We start from the raw sequence: 16,846 nt of genomic DNA, 5'->3' as shown, positions 1-16,846 counted from the left end.
TTTGCTTATAAACATCCTTTATTGTACATAGACAGTGGATACTGAGAATGATCAAGTAAATGGAATTTTGAACAGGTAAAGAGGAAACAAAGAATTAAGGTATCCCTGTGGAATAGTGCAAGAAAGGAGTGCCCCACCCATAGTGTTATCTACAATAGGTACTCCGGGGAAAGGACCCCAAGGAGTCAGACCACAAATGTATGACCAGCACAATTCTATGATCAAACTCTACCTCTAGCAAGGCGTCTCAACAATCAAGTTCTATTTAAATCATTCGCTCGTGTCTTCTTTCAGTCATGATGAAATAATGAGAATATCATAAGGAACAGAAGGTAATGCATTGGTCACCACCCTTGGAGAGGCTGGTGGGATGTATCTGGATTAGTCCTCACGGGGGGTGCTATTTTCCTGCATAGTCTTCATTATCCAGTCAACATAGTTCTTTACCCGTGTGTAGAGCCCATAGGTCCCACACTGGGGCCCCCAGGACACCAGGCCAGCTGCGTAGAATTTGGTCTTGTCATTGGGATCCTGTACAGCAAAGGCCCCACCACTGTCCCCTTTACAGCTATCCATGCCCTTCTCTCCTCCAGCACAGATCATGTTAGGAGTGAAAACATAGGCCTCTGCATCTGCTGTGGGTTTCTCCACTTTCACTTCTTTGCATTTTCTTAAAGGAGCTACAGGTAACCTTGCCGCCTTGAGGCGAACAGCACGATCTCTCTTCTCTGTTCGGCCCCAGCCTGAGATCAGTCCCAGGTCCCCATCCATGAGGTTGTAGTCGGAAGAGGTGCCTGGTAGGCAGATGGGAGAGACGGTGGGTCCCATTTTCACTGGGTCTTTCAGCCGCACCAGTGCAATGTCATTATCAAAATTGGTTCGTCCTTCTGGGACTTCCAGCAGCTTCCATCCCGGATGAATAAACACATGCTCAGGAGTGAGCATCTTGGATTTTGCCAGCCGTGAGGTCTGCACTGAGGTGGACCCAACATACATTGTTGGCTCCCTGTTTCCCTCCACAACATGAGCAGCCGTCAGCACCCAGTACTCATTAATGAGCGCTCCACCAGCCCATGGGTTGTCAAAGAAGACTTGCCAGGGGAAGTTTTTAATATCTGCATCGGATCCTCCAATTATCCTCTGTTTTTCTTCAAAGGGTTCTCTGGGGACTCCACAGACTAGGAAGGAATAAAACAACACAGGGAAGGAGGAAGAAATGATGCTGGCTTCCTGCAAATCCTCCAACCACTCACATAATGTTACCTGCTAGGTTGCAGGATTCTCTAGTACAAAATAGTCAACCCTATTTGGTCAACAATCTCAATACCTGACCCACTCTGGCCTTACCTAAACATCCCGCTTTGCCGATGTCATAAGCTGGCTCATGGGAGAGCTCAGTTAAACGGAGGCAGTGTGTGAATCACTGAGTCCAGATGCACTAATGCCTCACACTATCCACAGTGCGACCCACAGCCCCCCTGGAGGCAGGGGTCCCCTTTGCACCTCCCAACTCGGCACATGAGGCCGGTGCCCAATCAAGAGCCAGTGCTGGAAACCCTTTTCTCACACAGATGGTGGAGGAGGAAAGATTTCTGCCTTCTTCAGATGCCCAGATCAAACTTTAATCACCTTCTTTACTGGAGTCCTAGTTGCACCTGAGTCCCTCCTAGTAAACCACAGGTCAGCCTAGGAAGTAGAGAGGGGTCCCTTCTTTGGCCCTGACCTCTCACTCCCAGTGACTGGTGCCATTACCATTCAGTTATACTAATAACTGAATTCAAGTGAAGCTGCTTACTTAAATCCCTTACTAGACAGCCTGGAGGGACTCCAAGTTGAGCACAATGGGCTGTGAACTTAGACAGACCTGGGCTCAAAGCCTGCCTTTGCCACTTGCTAACTCTGTGAACTTGCACCCCACCCATTCACATTTGACATTGGTCAGATAAGACCAATGACACCTAGCTCACAGGGCTGTTATACGGACACGAATGAGATAATAAATGCAACAAATCAGCTCAGTCTTCAGCTTTCAGTACCACCCAGGATGGTTATTATCCTATTGGATTTGCCTCAGCCTTCTGCTACCCAACTCTTATCTTCCTCATTCTTTGAATTCCTCTATATCTTGCTGCCCTATAAACTTTTAATATAATAACTAGGCTATTTAGCTAGACTTGTTTCTGAGTGTTGATTACTCACACACTCTCAGCTTTCAGGCCCTGTTTTTAGCAGTTCTGTATCTTCTCACTGCAGCTACATTACCAGACACCAACTGTCGCTGGCTGACGTTTCTATTTCCTTCCAGTTGGCCTGGCTTCAGTGCGGCTGAGGAGGTTCCCCACGGCCCTGGCAGCCCACGGCACAGTGATACTGCCACCTCACTGAGCTGGACTCTGGCAGGTCACTGTTCAGTCCTTTCCCAAGAGGATTACAGTTGCTTTCAGAAGGTGACTCCCAGTCACCCATGGCTATCATCTCTCCCCAAGCCTCAGCCCTCCTTACCTGGAACACATTTCGGCAGCTCCGGGCCCAGCACCTCATTCACCCAGCTCCCGTTACCAGCACAGTGATACTCCCCTGGAATAGCACAGAGAACACAGGCCACACTCACCACCACATCTTCCTTCTTCCATTCCCCCCTCCGACCCCAACACCCTGCCCCGTTCCTTCAGAACCTCAGCTCGTCTAGGATTCAAGTAGTAAATCAGATTAAATCAGCCAGAAAAAAAATATCTTCCTCCAAACAATCCCTCAGGCCTCTAGCCTGCCAGGGAGACAAAGGGAACATCTCCAAAGCAGAAGGAAAGAAGGCATCGGGAAAGTGGCGAAATAAATACAGAGCAATGCAGAGAACGTATTAGGGTCTCATTCAGCCCTGCACCTAGCATGACCAAAGCCTCTACATCAAGAAAGCCAGTCAGTGTAGTTTGGTGGCTTAAAGCTGAAGGCATTGCTCCTGTGGGTTTTACATGAAATAACTGGTCAAAAGGTGGGTAATCCCATGAAATGGATGTTGTAGGGGAATTCCTGCTGCAGCTGTGAACTCAGTTGGTGACCTCTATGATTCCCTGAGGCTGATGCTCCCCTGAACTTGCCCTGCTCCAGATGAAAACTGTATCTTTGGACGAAGCCAAGGGGATGAACAATGTCTGTCCTATCGCCTTCATTTGTCTCCAAACTCTGTCTCTGGCACAGATTATGCTATCCACCCTCCAACACCTTCTCACTCTCTCTCTCTCTTCTCCAGTAGAAGAAACCTACCACCTCCTCCATTTTCCATGTAGTAATATGGCTCCTCACAAGTGTAGCGGATGACAGAACCAAACAAAGTGCTCTCTGGGTCTTCAACTTTACCATTCTCAATGGATTCAGGAATGCCACAGTCCACAGCTACCAGACGAAGGAAGGAGAGCGATGGTCAGGACAGCCACTTCCTCCAAGGAAGAGTCATGGGGCCAGGTTCATCCTCACTGCTTCCCCACCCCATATCCACAGGCACACCTGGGATGAACCTCCCCACACCAGCCTCTCTGTGGCCATCCTCCCCAACTGGCATCTCTCAGCTCTCTCACCCGCTGAGATGCCAATTCAGATGGCCCCATGAAAGCCGTAGTGAAGAGCCTGGTTCTCAGTGGTTGGTGAAGGCCCAGTGGAAGCCACAAATGCACCCACGTGGGGCTACTAACTCGACCTATCCCATAGCCCCTTTCTTGGAAAGAAACATGCCGATCTAGTTGGCCTGGGACCAGATGCGGGGCTGGGACTAGAAAAGCTTCCATGACTGGCTTCCCTTCAAAAACCCAACCCACTCCCTCACATGCCTAAGAGGAAACCATGCATTTGAATTTTGATGTGCTGATCTTTCCATTCTCTCTGAGAGAAAAAGAAAGACTTCCACTTTGAAGAGACACATACGTTGACATTTCAGTTTGGAATTACTCCACTTTCCATTGCTTTGACAAGTCGAATAGAAAGATGTTGCACCAACACGTCCCTGGAGAATAATAAACATCACCACTTATTTCTGAAGAGAGATATGGGAAACCAAAATCAAAACTGGAATTGATCTCTGGCCTTGGATCAATGAGGAGTCCTCACCACAAGAAGCTTGGGAACATCTTAGCAGACCTAAAGCACCCAGGAGATGAGGCTGACAGAAAGCTTTGCCCCAACGTGTCAACTCCCCTTCCTCAAGAAGACTGAAGGCAGAGAGAATGCCAAGCTGGCCAGGCAGCTCCATGACTCACAAGGGAGAACTACAGATCTTAAGCTGTTGTGTTTATGGGAAAGGTGTTATACCTTGATCACACACATACATTGGGTAAACAACTGGACAATTTCAGTCCGCTCATCCTGATCTGGGGCCAGGGACTGGGGAGAAGCCAAGGTGGTACTTTACCTCCACAACTTCAAACCCATCCAGACAGGTTATCTGCACCACATCTCTAAAGACATATTTTGCCTTCGCAGGCTCCCAAACAGAATTGGGAGTGTCTTCCTTAGGGCAGGGCATTGCTTGAAAGAACAGAAGTTGGGACAGGAGGAAAAAATTACTAAATAGTTGAAGACTCTCATTCTATTTACATCATTCTCACACTTTCTAAAATCGTCCAGTTGTCCTCAATCCTGATGCTTAACATTCCAATACAGCAGATGTCTAAAATCATATGGCATTACCAACTAACCACCCGCAAGCTGTCTGCAGTCTCAGGTCTAGTTAAAGGATTACTAGAGGTTGAGGCATTTCTAGCAACCGTTGACTGGTTTAGATTTTCCTGAAGAAGTGAAGTATCTCAGGATTCTATCAGAACAACAATCTATCTGTTTTTTAAATTATTGTTGCTTTGTTTTTGTTTTGTTTTAGAGACAAGGTTTTGCTCTGTTGCCCAGAGTGGACTCAAACTCCTACTTCCTGGGCTCAAGGGATCCTCCTGCCTCAGCCTCCCTCGGTAGCTGAGATCACAGGTGCTTCCAGTGTGCCTGGATCATCTACCTGCTTTGATCCCACATTGTTTGGGGACTTTGGTATCACCAACCAAAGAGGCACTTCTAAGTTACTCACGATCTCCATGATAGCGAAGTTTCCAGCCCTTTTTTTGCCCTGTTAGATCAGTTTGGAAGATGATATCAAGAGCATTACTCTTGGTTTCAATATTTAGAGGCCCAGGGAATCCATGACCACAGTAAGGACCAAATTGCCGATCTCCTGCAACAAACTGAACAAAATGATGAAATCAGAAGAGGGAAAGAACTAAAGGGAAGAGGTAAAATTGGGAAGTGGGAGATACAAATAAAAGAGGCATTAAATGTCACATAAAATAAGAAGAAAATAAGGGTCAGGAGAAAAGATAATTTTATCTTCAGGCTGAGTGCAGTGGCTCACACCTATAATCCCAGCACTTTGGGAGGCCGAGGTGGGAGCATTGCTTGAGGCTAGGAGTTTCAGGCTATCCTGAGCAACATAGCAAAACCCCATCTCTGTAAAAAAAAAAAGAATAACAATAAAAATATTAGCTGGGTTTGATGACACACGTCTGTGGGCCCAGCTACTCAGGAGGCTGAGGTGGGACGCTTGCTTGAGCCCAAGAGATCAAGGCTACAGTGAGCTGTGATTGCACCACTGCACTCCAGCTTGAGCAACAGAGAAAGATGCTGTATGAAAAAAAAATTTGTCTTCAGGGAGAGATCTCTCTGTGTAAGTTAAGGGTGGGGTATTAATCAACCATCACGCACAACTAAACTGTCAAGGCAGTTTCCCGCTGAGTCAGCTGCTTCCACATCAAAATCTTCTCTCCGCAAGGTCACCACCACTTGGAACCCTTTCTCCAACCGGATCTGGTATTCACACCTTGAGTTCTCTGGATATGGTTTGGGATAATTGGGACTTGCAATCTCCCCAATCAGTGCAGTGAATACATCCCCACTGCAATTAACTAACAGAGAAAAAGAGAAAGGGAGAATCAAATACAGGGTCAAGCAAAGGAATTCCTGCACTATTCTATGATTCCTTCTCTCAGAAACTGACAGTCCTGCATTCAAACTAACCTGAGATCCCTGCCCTAACTGGAGGGATAGAGCAATTACACGTGCAATACGTATCAGTAGGAATACCCAATCCCTATTAGGTTTCCATCACTTTGCTTAGGATGGAGCCTTTCTGGTTATGAACAGCCCCCAGTAGACCCTTTACAGGCATCTATCTCTCTTATCCAATTAACTAACTTTACCCTATAGTCTTATCTTCCTCCTTCTTGTGGCTTCATCTCAGCTTATGAGTAACTAAGAATAGATGCCAATACAGAGTGATATAATGGACTCTGGGGACTCAACGTGGGAGGAGGTTGAAACAGGGGCGAGAAAACTACACACTGGGTATAGTGTACACCGCTCAAGTAACAAGTGCACTAAAATCTCAGAATTGACCACTAAGGAACTCATCCATGTAACCAAAAACACCAGTACCCCCAAAACTATTGAAATTATTAAAAATAATACATAAATAAATAAATTCTAAAATAAAAAAGAAGTGCCAAATGAAGGCTTGGCCTAATCGAAGTTGGAAGGGTGGACAAAGCCCTTTCTGAGGCCTCAGCCATTCCAAATCCCAGGGAACATGCAACCCTCTTAACACCAAGCTCACCTCCGCAATTCTTCATGTCATCATGGAGGAAATATTCCGGGGGGCAGGAGCAGAAGTAACCACCAATGAAATTGTTGCAGAAGTGGCTACAAGGGACATCTACAAAATCTGTGCATTCATTTATGTCTACAAAGAGTAGAAAGAGGCTGAGGTCAAGAACAAACACCAAGAAGGGAGAATGAGGTTAAATCCAAAACCATAAGGGTAAGAAAAAGTAGGAAAGGCCTATTGCTTAAAGATCCGTCAAGGGATCACATTTCAGGCTACTATTATTCCATATTACTCTCCTGACATATGATTCCAGAGTTGAGCCCTACCACTACACAGCTATAAGGAAGCTCGGGGGTGTGTGTGTGTAAGTGACATAGCCTCACTCTGTCACCGAGGCTGGAGTGCAGTGGTGGGATCTTGGCTCACTGCAACCTCCACATTTTCAAGCAAGTTCAAACAAGTCTCACGCCTCTACCTCCCGAGGAGCTGGGAACACAAGCACGCACCACCACTATGCCTGGTTAATTTTTCATATTTTTAGTAGAGACAGGGTTTCACCATGTTGGCCAGGCTGGTCTTGAACTCCTGGGCTCCGGTAATCCACCTGCCTCAGCCTCCCAAAGTGCTGGGATTACAGGTGTGAGCTACCATGCCCGGCCTAGGCAGCTCTTAATGTCAGAGATCCTTGACTTTTCTCATGTACAGAGCATTTCAGCTCCAGGAATGACACTCTGCAAGGTAAACATCATGACGATGCCTTCTGCAGGGAGGAATCAGTACATTCATTGCTTTATATGATGTTGGTCCTTCTGTCAAATCTAAACAATAGTTTGGCTTTATGAGATGTCCTAGCTTCATTTTAACCTAGAGAGAGATACAGAAGTACCCAGAATTTGAAGGTTTGAATGCCATATATTGAATGGGTTTAAATACTACACATTCCTTGTGTGATTCTTGGCAAGTTATTAACTTTCCTAGTCCTTATTTTCTTCATCTTTATATGGAGCAAATAATACCTACCTTGAAGGATTAAAGTGACGATTGTGTTAAAATAGGAAAAATCCCCAATCCCCAATACATACCCAGTTTATAGTGGCTCTCAACAAATTGCTGTTTATTATGTACTATGTGTTATTACCATGATCATCATCACCACTAAGATATGATCATGCATTTGAATTTCACAAAAGTGATTTATGGAGCGACCCAGGCCAAGTCAACACTTTTTATAAGAATTACGAACAGAATCCTCATTCAATGTGTTGCTCAGTGGATTTCTCATTTCTAATCTTTTAGCTGGGTCAATAAGGCACATGCAGAAGGGTGAGCCTTACCTGTGGCAACATAGTATGCAGCAAACCCCGTAAAACGCTCTTCATTGGAAAAGTCTGACTTAAAGATCACCTGGAGTTTGTTGTATGGGACTTGGAACTCTTCCACAATTGGAGAGTGGGGATTGTTACTGCTCCTCTGTCCACAGAGCCTCCCTTCTTCAGTGTCTCCTGAGATTATCTAAGAGAAGAGTCACAAAAAAAAAATCTAGGAAAGGGTAATATTTTGGTATGGAGTTAAAAGAAGGGACAGAGAGAATAGAACATTTATGCCACTAGGACTTGACTCCAGTTCACTGTGAGTACAGGTGGCACTCCCTCCCACATCCTTATTCCGCTACCTTAGCCCTAGTCTTCCATCTCTATTCTTTTTGTGCTTATAACATACCTGCACTGAGTCATACGCACAGTTCTCTGACAGCTCAATGTCCAGATGGGTGAAGTAGAGGTGAATCCCATACCCTTCAGGAACTTCTATGTCCCAAGATTTCTCTACCTCACTGGGATATGCCTGAGGATAGTTAGGGGACAGGATCTCCCCATACATGGTAGGCTCAGCATAAACCCATGCCAAAAGTGAAAACAGGACAATGCACCTGAAAAAACAGAGGCATAGATTGGCGGGTGACCAGGCACCAGTAGCCTAGGACAGAACGCGCTATTTGCCAGAGGCAGAAGAAAGGGGGAAGAAGAGAGGCAGTCAATCGGCCATGGGGGAGAATCTTAGGTCGGAATAAAGAAAAGGCCCAGGTCAAACCAAAACCCAGGCTTCAGACAAGAGCCCTTTTTTTTTTTTTTTTGAGACAGGTTCTCACTCTGTCACCCAGGCTGGAGTGCAGTGGTGCGATCTCAGGTCACTGCAGCCTTGACCTCCCGCGCTCAAGTGATTCTACCACCTCAGCCTTTTGAGTAGCAGGGACCACAGGTGACACGCATGACGCTGGGCTAATTTTTTTTTTTTTTAATAGAGACAGGGTCTCCTTATGTTGCCCAGGCTGGTCTCAAAGTCCTGGGCTCAAGCAATCCTCCCGCCTCAGCCTCCCAAAGTGCTGGGGTTACAGGTGTGAGCCATCATGCCTGGCCCTTGAGCGCTTTTCTTGAGAAGATGAAGGGAATGGAGTCTGTGTCATCTCAGGGACCCTTGATCACTTACCACATCTCTGGCGATTTGTCCACCCTGGTGAGCTGCCTGTCTCTTGGTCCTGGCTTTCTGCACCTCCGGACTTTGGAGCCTAAGGGGTGGCAGGCCTGGCTGTATTTGTCTGACAAACACAAGCACCTTCTTTGGTGGTGCGGCGTCACCTGGGGCTCAGTGTCACCTTCAAAGGTATAACACACAGGGCCATATCACCAACATCCCCACATGGCACCGTGCCCCTCACACCCTCCCTAGTTAACTTCGACTAACTTTCTAGACTATAGCTAAATTGTATCCTTCCCTCATTGCTTCTCTAGACTTTCTCCTAATTTTTCTCCAAAGGAATCGAGTACTTTCTCCCAGTTTTCTTCTTCCTCTATTGTCCTCCACCAGCCCCACCCCCGCGGTATCAGTCTCTCTCCTGCCCTCAAGAACGATGCTCCCATTTCCACTCAGGTTTTCAACAGTCTTGGCGCATCATGATCATCCATGTAGGACAGCCCCTCTTCTTTAACCGTGATCACCTCATCTCCTCAAGCAGCCCTGTCTGCTGTTTATCATTGCGTGCATCTCCGCTGATGCTCCCAACGCCCACCGATGGAGGCAGGAGCTTCTTTCACTAGGGGAAGGCAGGGACCCTGGGACAAGCGGTCTGAGAAGGAAGTGCTGCCCCACTGATACAGGGTTGTGCGAGGAAGGAGAAAAGGGACAGCCAAATGACAAGGAACATAAAAACTTCCTACATTCGTTTTCCAGAGTTTGTTTGGAGTTTGTCCCTGCCCCCCACCGCCAACTTACTGAAAATACAAGCTATCTCCCCACAGTTCCTAGTAAAGGGTTGCTAAAATTGCTTTAACCCTGAAAACAGTGGTAGGTAAGGGGGTGAAGTAGGGGTGGATGGGGTGAGCCTAAGAGAAATAGGTTGTCTATATTCTGCCTTTTTTTATGCTGCCTTTGTCAGCCCTCTATCATTGCCCCAAGCCCTCCTACGTGAAGTTTTCTGCCTTTCCTTTTTCCTCCATCAAAGCTCTGCTCCTCGTTTGTAAGGATTTTACCTTCAGAAGCTGGTAGGAGCAAGTGGGTCAGTTCCCTCTCTCCTGCCAGTGGGCATGCTGGGCAACCCCTCTGGCCCCCAGGGACAGCAGCACAGGGCCTTGACGCTCCCTCTGCAGGAACCTCCGGCCAGCCTCCCTGTCCTGGTTCTGTTCATAAGATTCCCTACCCGAGTGTGCATGTCTGAAATTCCCTGATCTAAACAGAGGGGGCTGGGAGACCATGACTTAGGGAAACTCAGCCTTGATCTTGGAGCTCCCTCTGCTTTTGAAACAAGGACAGCGTCCTCCTCCCAGGCCAGAGAGCCCTCTATCCAGGGCTCCAGCGGGGAAAGGAGGAATGGGGAATTTCACCGATTGCTTAATGCTATTTTTCAGCCAAAGGGTGTGTTTCTGAGTTTTCGGGAAAGTCAAGTGATTTCTGGGAAAAGGCGGGGATTGGTACCAGGGGAAATAACCAAACCCAGAAAGTCCAGCCCTCCAAATGTGTGTGAATCATGAATTAAGGGAAAGTAGTTATCAGAAATGTAAGTCATCTCTGCTTTAAAGCAAATGTAATGGTTGATAATGACTTAACACCAAGACCCAAGGTGGTATGGCGTGAGGCTTCCTCTTCATAACATCCCTCCACATCCCTTCCAAACATCGAAATTCTACCCCACAACCAAGCCCCCTTTCAGATCCAACCCAGACTCCCTTATCCATAACCCTTGAAGCCAGGTGTGTTTTGAAATTTTATAGATTTTTTTAGGCTATGTAGTCCATGGACCCAATATTAGGTAACACCTCCTCCTCTCCCTCCCTTTATGGACCAGGATAACCCCCTATTAACAAACATTAAGATTTCTGCAGCTAAACACATTGATCTTACGGTAAATGGATAACTAAAGATTACAAATCACATCAGTTCGGGTCAGGTTTTGCTGCCAAATTGAGTTTTAGTCCCAAACTTGAAAACAAACAAACAAAAAACAATAGCCAGGTATTGTGACACACGCCTGTAGTCCCAGCTACTCAGGAGGCTGAGGCAAGAGGATCACTTGTGCCAGGGAGGTCGAGGCTGCAGAGGGCACCACTGCACTCCAGCCTGGGCAACAGAATGAGATCCCATTACAAAAAAAAGACAGAGACTTTGTTTTCAGAGTCCTTTGGATTTTAGAATTGCAGACAAGGGACTGAGGGGCAGTGCCACTCCACAGAGCCTTCCCTGATCTCAGCTCCCCTTTATGCCCCTTTAGTTGGCTTAGCACTGGGCCTGGAGTCAGAAGATAGGCTCATGTCCCAGCTCTGCTCCTCACCAGTGGTGATGTCTTAGGCTCATCACCTAACTTCCTAGTTTCTTTTTTTTTTTAAACCTGGCTCACTATTGACAGACCTAGTTTCTTCAAATATAAAACAGAAATCCTATCAGTTCTGCCTACCCTACATGACTATCAGATGGACCTAATGAAATAATTCGAGTGAACAAGCTTTGCACACTATGGTACCTAATAAATGTGCATGTTAAAAGGAAGAGAATCATGAGCCCGTAAGGTCTCGGAAGACAGGTGCTGGGTCTGATCCGTCTTGGTATTGTCCGCCATGTCTAGCAGTGTCATGCAGAACACAGATGTGTATGCAACCATCTGTGACTCCCCTGGCTGCCCAGCATTCAAACTGCTTTGCCACATTAGAGGAGTTCCCCATGATATCAGTCTTGGGAACAGAGCCGACCTCCCAAGAAAGAAGACACAGGCACAAGAAGTGTGTCACCCCCACCTCCAGCAGCTCTGGAGCAGGCTAATTTGTAATCACCCGAAGGGTTCTTCCTGCCTGCTGCGTAGACAAAACCAATTCACTGAGACCATGGTATTGCAGTAGAGAAAGAGTTTAACAACACAGAGCTAGCCAAGTGAAAGGATGGGAGTTTATTTCTCAAATCAGTCCCCACAAGAACTCAGAGGCTAGGGTTCTTAAGGAGAATTTGGTGGGCGGTAAGAGCAGAGAATGGGTGCTACTGATTCGTTGGGGATAAAATCATAGGAGTGTAGAAAACAGACCTTGTGCACTAAGTCCACCTCTGGGTGGGGGTCACAGGACCAGTTGAGTCATGAATCATTTCAGAATGCAAAAGTCTGAAAAATATCTCAGAAGACCAATATTTGGTTTTACAATAGTGATGTTATCTATAGGAGCAATTGGGGAAGTCACAGATCTTGTGACCTCTGGCCGCATGACTCCTGAGCAGCAAAGGATTATAGAAAGGCAAGCTAGGGGTCAATGGCTGGTCATCGGTTAGCTACACCCACATCTTAGCAAAATTCAAGCCCCTCCCATAATCCTAATCTTGTGGCCTTTCATTAGTTTTACAAAGGCAGGTCCCTGAGCTAGGAGGGGGTTCATTTTAGGGAGGGACTAATATCATCTTTGCTTCAGAGTTAAACTGTAAACTAAATTCCTCCCATGGTTAGCTTGGCCTATGCCCAGGAATGAGTGAGGACAGCCAGCCTGTGAGGGTAGAGGCAAGATGGAGTCACCCATGCTAGACTTCCCTCACTGTCATCATCTTTGCAAAGGCAGTTTCACATGCACACACGTTCCATTCATCAGAGGCCCAGGCTTTCAATCCAGAGCCAGTAATGCCAGGAAGCAGGGACCCTAGAGCCTGTAGGGACAGTGGTGGCCACAGCAAGATCACAGAGGAGGTAGAGTTCTCAGCAGCACCCAGCATCCAGCCCCAGTGGGTAAGCATTGCAAGCCGAAGCATCCAGGCCATGGTCAAAGAAGTGGCAGCAGCGGCAGCCAGGTTCTGACCATTGTCCCTGCTGGGAAGCTTCCACAATGGCTCTGTAGCTCCCCTGGAATTTCCATGAGCAATCCAGGGTCCCTTTAATAAATTCATCTTCTGCTAAACTCAGCCAGAGTTGGTTTCTACTGCTTGCAACTAAAAATAATGGCTGATACAACACGCTCAGTGAGTATCTGAGGATTGGTTGATTGAATGTGCCAAAGTGAATTCAAACCATTCATTACCTTTCATTTTAGCCGTGTGACCTTGAAAAAGTTACTATGCCTCTCTGAGCTCCAGCTTTATCAGGTGTAAAATGGGAATAATAGCACCTACTTCAGACACAGCTATCACTGTCAGGGCCCATTGTGGCCAAGATTAAACAAAATAACGTATGCTAAGCATTCAGCATATACCTGGTACTCAGTAAGCTTTTAACAAATAACAAACCATATTAACTTCTCCAAACACCAAACACGGCAGCAGTAGCAGCAGCTTCCTCCCCATCAAGAGCATGCTTCAGTTAATACCAAGGAAAAGAGGACGCCTTATCAATGTGTCCAGGGTTCCTTCTCCTTTTCCTTGGAGCTCAACACTGCCCGATCTTGCCAGAAAAGTTAGACTCTCCTATCCTCACCTGTGTTTTATGTTCATTTCTGCAATTTTGCCACGAAATTGAAATACATTGCCAGGAGCAGTGGCTCACACCTGTAATCCCAGCAACTCAGAAGGCTGAGGCGGGAGGATCGCTTGAGGCTGGGAGTTCAAGACCAGCCTAGGCAACATAGGGAGACCTCATCTCTACAAAAAAGTTTAAAAATTAGCCATCCTGTGGTCCCAGCTACTCAGGAGGCTGAGAGGCAGGAGGATTGCTTGAGCCCAGGAGTTCAAGCCTGCAGTGAGCTATGACCACAGCATTGCACTTCAGCCTGGGTGCTCCGTTTCCCACCTCAAATTTCATTGGTCAGGCATAGTGGCTCATGCCAAAGTGCTGTAATCCCAGCACTTTGGTAGACCAAAAAGAGAGGATCACTTGATGCCAGGAGTTCAAGACCAGCCTGGGGAACATAGCAAGATTTCATCTCTACAAAAAGTCAAAAAATTAGTCAGGCATAGTGGCACGCACTTGTAGTCCCAGCTACTCAGGAGGCCAAGGGAGGAGGATAACTTGAGCCCAGGATTTTGAGGCTGCAATGAGCTATGATCACACCACTGCACTCCAGCCTGGGCAACAGAGTGAGACCCTGTCTCAAAAATAAATAAAATAAAATTTCATGCAGCCATGTTATCTAAGTAGCTATCGGAGATCCACAATGAGATTAAATGATGGTATTAAGAAGCTCCAACAAGGGATTGCCAACAATAAAGGTTTTGAACAACAAATAACCCTCCCATTTTCAAATTTGAACAACAAATAACCCTCCCATTAATCAAACTCCAAAATTAAAGTTCAAATCCCATTGCAAACTGAAACTATGACATTAAAGTCAAAAGTAATTGAAGCCCAAAGTGTCTATGTTAAAGTCACAAAACTATCAGTTCCAATTTGTGTTCTGTTTAATCCCAGCTAGTGGGTTTCCAATCCCTGGGCAGAGCTGTGGTCCCTTCCGAAGCTGCGGCCTGGGCTGGAACAGGTTAGTTCCTCCAAGGCTTCAAAGACTGAGTTCTGAGGCAAACCTTCCATGAGTCTGTTTTTAAAATTCCAGAAAGTTAATGAGACACAAGAATATTGCAACACCAGCCCCACAACCACAAAATTTAGAAAATGAGCTATCCCCAGACCCCAAGACAATCATCCCAAGCAAAATTAAAATTGTATTTCCAGAAACCACCACTTAATGTCACCAAAATCTGAAGAAGAAATTCAGTGGTATCTGAGGGCAACAGAAAAGCTTAAGCTTAGTTTAAAACCTTACCTTGAGGCCAGTCGATTTATGCCAGTTGTTCAGAATCCATGTCCTGTGGGCCAGGTGTGGTGGCTCACACCTGTAATACCAATACTTTAGGAGGCCAAAGCAGGAGGGTTGCTTGAGTTCAGGAGTTTGAGATCAGCCTGGGCAACATGGTGAGACCCTATCTCCACAAAAAAAAGAAAGAATGCCAGGCATGCTAGAGCATGTCTGTAGTCCCAGCTACTCAGGAGGCTGAGGTGGGAGGATCACTTGAGCCCTGGAGGTCAAGGCTGCAATGAGCTGTGATCACACCACTGCACTCCAGCCTGGGCAATAGAGTGAGACCCTGTCAAAAAAAAAAGTCTATGTCCTGTGAACTTAAACACCATTGGAAGAAAACATGTAGAAAAAGGTTAATTGGGCATTTTGTACTTGCCATATCGGGATCCTCGTAGGTGGAACTTCTAAATTTGCATCCCCTCCCACCATCTCCTGACCTTGTCCCCATGAGCCCCAAGCTGTGGGCTCTTCAGTGCCTTGTTAGTTGGTGAGCTCTCCCTAGTTAGAACTCTAGCAGCCTCCATGATATTAAAAAGGACAGACATTTCCATCGTGTGCCTCTTTTATGACTTCTGCCACTCCTCTTTTTTGGACTCACTAAGACCTAAAAAGCCTTCTTCCTAAGGAGGGCTTTCCCCACACCCTCATGTTCATTTCAGCTGAAGGCAGCACCCTCAGCAGACTTTTGAACTGAGGTTGTTACTAGGTGTCACTCCCGGGTGGGTGGTCATCCTGTCTTGTTTTCTCTGTTCTCTGTGGGTCGAGTTGTTTTCTTGATGAATGCCAATGCATGTACCTTCTGCTCATTGGGAAGGGCTGTCTGGCCTGGGATTCCAGCACAACCACCACGCCCTTACCTGGCCCCTTTAATCAGAGGCAGCCCAACAGTTAAAGGAGCACCCACGCACAGAGAAAAGAAAGAACCAATGCAGGAACTCCAGCAACTCCAATGGCCAGACTGTCCTATGTCCACCAAACAACCTCACTAGTTCTCCAACAAGGGTTCTTAATGAGGCTGAGTTGGCTGAAATGACAGAAATAGAATTCGGAATATGGATAGGAATGAAGATCATTGAGATTCAGGAGAATGGCAAAACCCAATCCAAGGAAACTAAGAATCACAATAAAATGATGCAGGACCTGACAGATGAAATAACCAGTAAAAAAGAGAACCTAACTGATCTGATAGAGCTGAAAAACACACTACAAGAATTTTACAATGCAGCCGGGCACAGTGGCTCATGCCTGTAATCCCAGCACTTTGGGAGGCTGATGCAGGTGGACCACTTGAGGCCAGGAGTTCAAGACCAGCCTGGCCAAATAGTGAAACGCTTTTTCTACTAAAACTGCAAAAATTAGCTGGGCATGGTGGCATACGCCTGTAATCCCAGCTACTCAAGTGGCTGAGACATGCCAATCATTTGAACCTGGGAGGTAGAGGCTGCAGTGAGCCAAGATCATGCCACTGTACTCCAGTCTGGACAACAGAGTGAGATTTTGTCTCAAAAACAAAATAAAATAAAAAATAAAAGAATTTCACAATGCAATAACAAGTATTAACAGCAGAAGAGACCAAGCTGAGGAAAAAATCGCAGAACTTAAAAATTGGCACTCTGAAATAAGATAGCCAGACAAAAATAAAGAAAAAAGAAGGAAAAGGAATGACAAAACTCCTGAGAAATATGGGATTATGTAAAGAGGCCAAATCTACAAATCACTGGCATCCCCGAAAGGGATGGGGAGAAAGTGAACAACTTGGAAAACATATTTCAGGATATTGTCCATGAAAATTTCCCCGACCTCCCTAGAGAGGTCAACAGTCAAATTCAGGAAATACAGAGAACCCCTGCAATATTCTACACAACGAGATCATCCCCAAGACATATAATCATCAGATTTTCCAAGGTCAAAATGAAAGAATGTTAAAGGCAGCTAGAGAGAAAGGGCAGGTCACCTACAGAGGGAGCCCCATCAA

General features: G+C 46.3%; 1 protein-coding gene across 3 annotated transcripts, besides 2 other annotated features; it reads right to left on the bottom strand.

The window, feature by feature from the left end:
- Positions 1 to 10,315, bottom strand: C1S (complement C1s). Of its 3 annotated transcripts, none has more exons than NM_201442.4 (12): positions 10,156 to 10,315; positions 9,116 to 9,281; positions 8,351 to 8,558; positions 7,966 to 8,143; positions 6,641 to 6,766; positions 5,734 to 5,933; positions 5,063 to 5,216; positions 4,400 to 4,515; positions 3,916 to 3,994; positions 3,262 to 3,390; positions 2,503 to 2,577; positions 1 to 1,178 (listed from the first exon to the last, which is right to left on the bottom strand). In NM_201442.4, exons 2-12 carry the CDS (start codon positions 9,118 to 9,120, stop codon positions 382 to 384), a joined length of 2,067 nt encoding a protein of 688 aa, NP_958850.1. In that variant the 5' UTR covers positions 9,121 to 9,281; positions 10,156 to 10,315; the 3' UTR covers positions 1 to 381. The 3 variants fall into 3 exon arrangements, with proteins under 3 accessions (NP_958850.1, NP_001725.1, NP_001333779.1); NM_001734.5 differs by having other exon boundaries at positions 9,116 to 9,194; NM_001346850.2 differs by lacking the exon at positions 8,351 to 8,558.
- Positions 9,727 to 10,226: an enhancer, noted in NCBI's record as "H3K4me1 hESC enhancer chr12:7168111-7168610 (GRCh37/hg19 assembly coordinates)". NCBI's record gives its function as "activates a minimal SCP1, AML or CMV promoter by ChIP-STARR-seq in primed H9 embryonic stem cells {active_cell/tissue: H9 hESC(primed)}" and the evidence as "EXISTENCE:reporter gene assay evidence [ECO:0000049][PMID:30033119]".
- Positions 10,227 to 10,728: an enhancer, noted in NCBI's record as "H3K4me1 hESC enhancer chr12:7167609-7168110 (GRCh37/hg19 assembly coordinates)". NCBI's record gives its function as "activates a minimal SCP1, AML or CMV promoter by ChIP-STARR-seq in primed H9 embryonic stem cells {active_cell/tissue: H9 hESC(primed)}" and the evidence as "EXISTENCE:reporter gene assay evidence [ECO:0000049][PMID:30033119]".

The sequence above is a fragment of the Homo sapiens genome, chromosome 12 (assembly GCF_000001405.40).
Source record: "Homo sapiens chromosome 12, GRCh38.p14 Primary Assembly".
Lineage (NCBI taxonomy): Eukaryota > Metazoa > Chordata > Mammalia > Primates > Hominidae > Homo > Homo sapiens.
The sequence above is the reverse complement of the archived record's forward strand: the minus strand, read 5'-3'. Positions and strand labels throughout refer to the sequence as shown.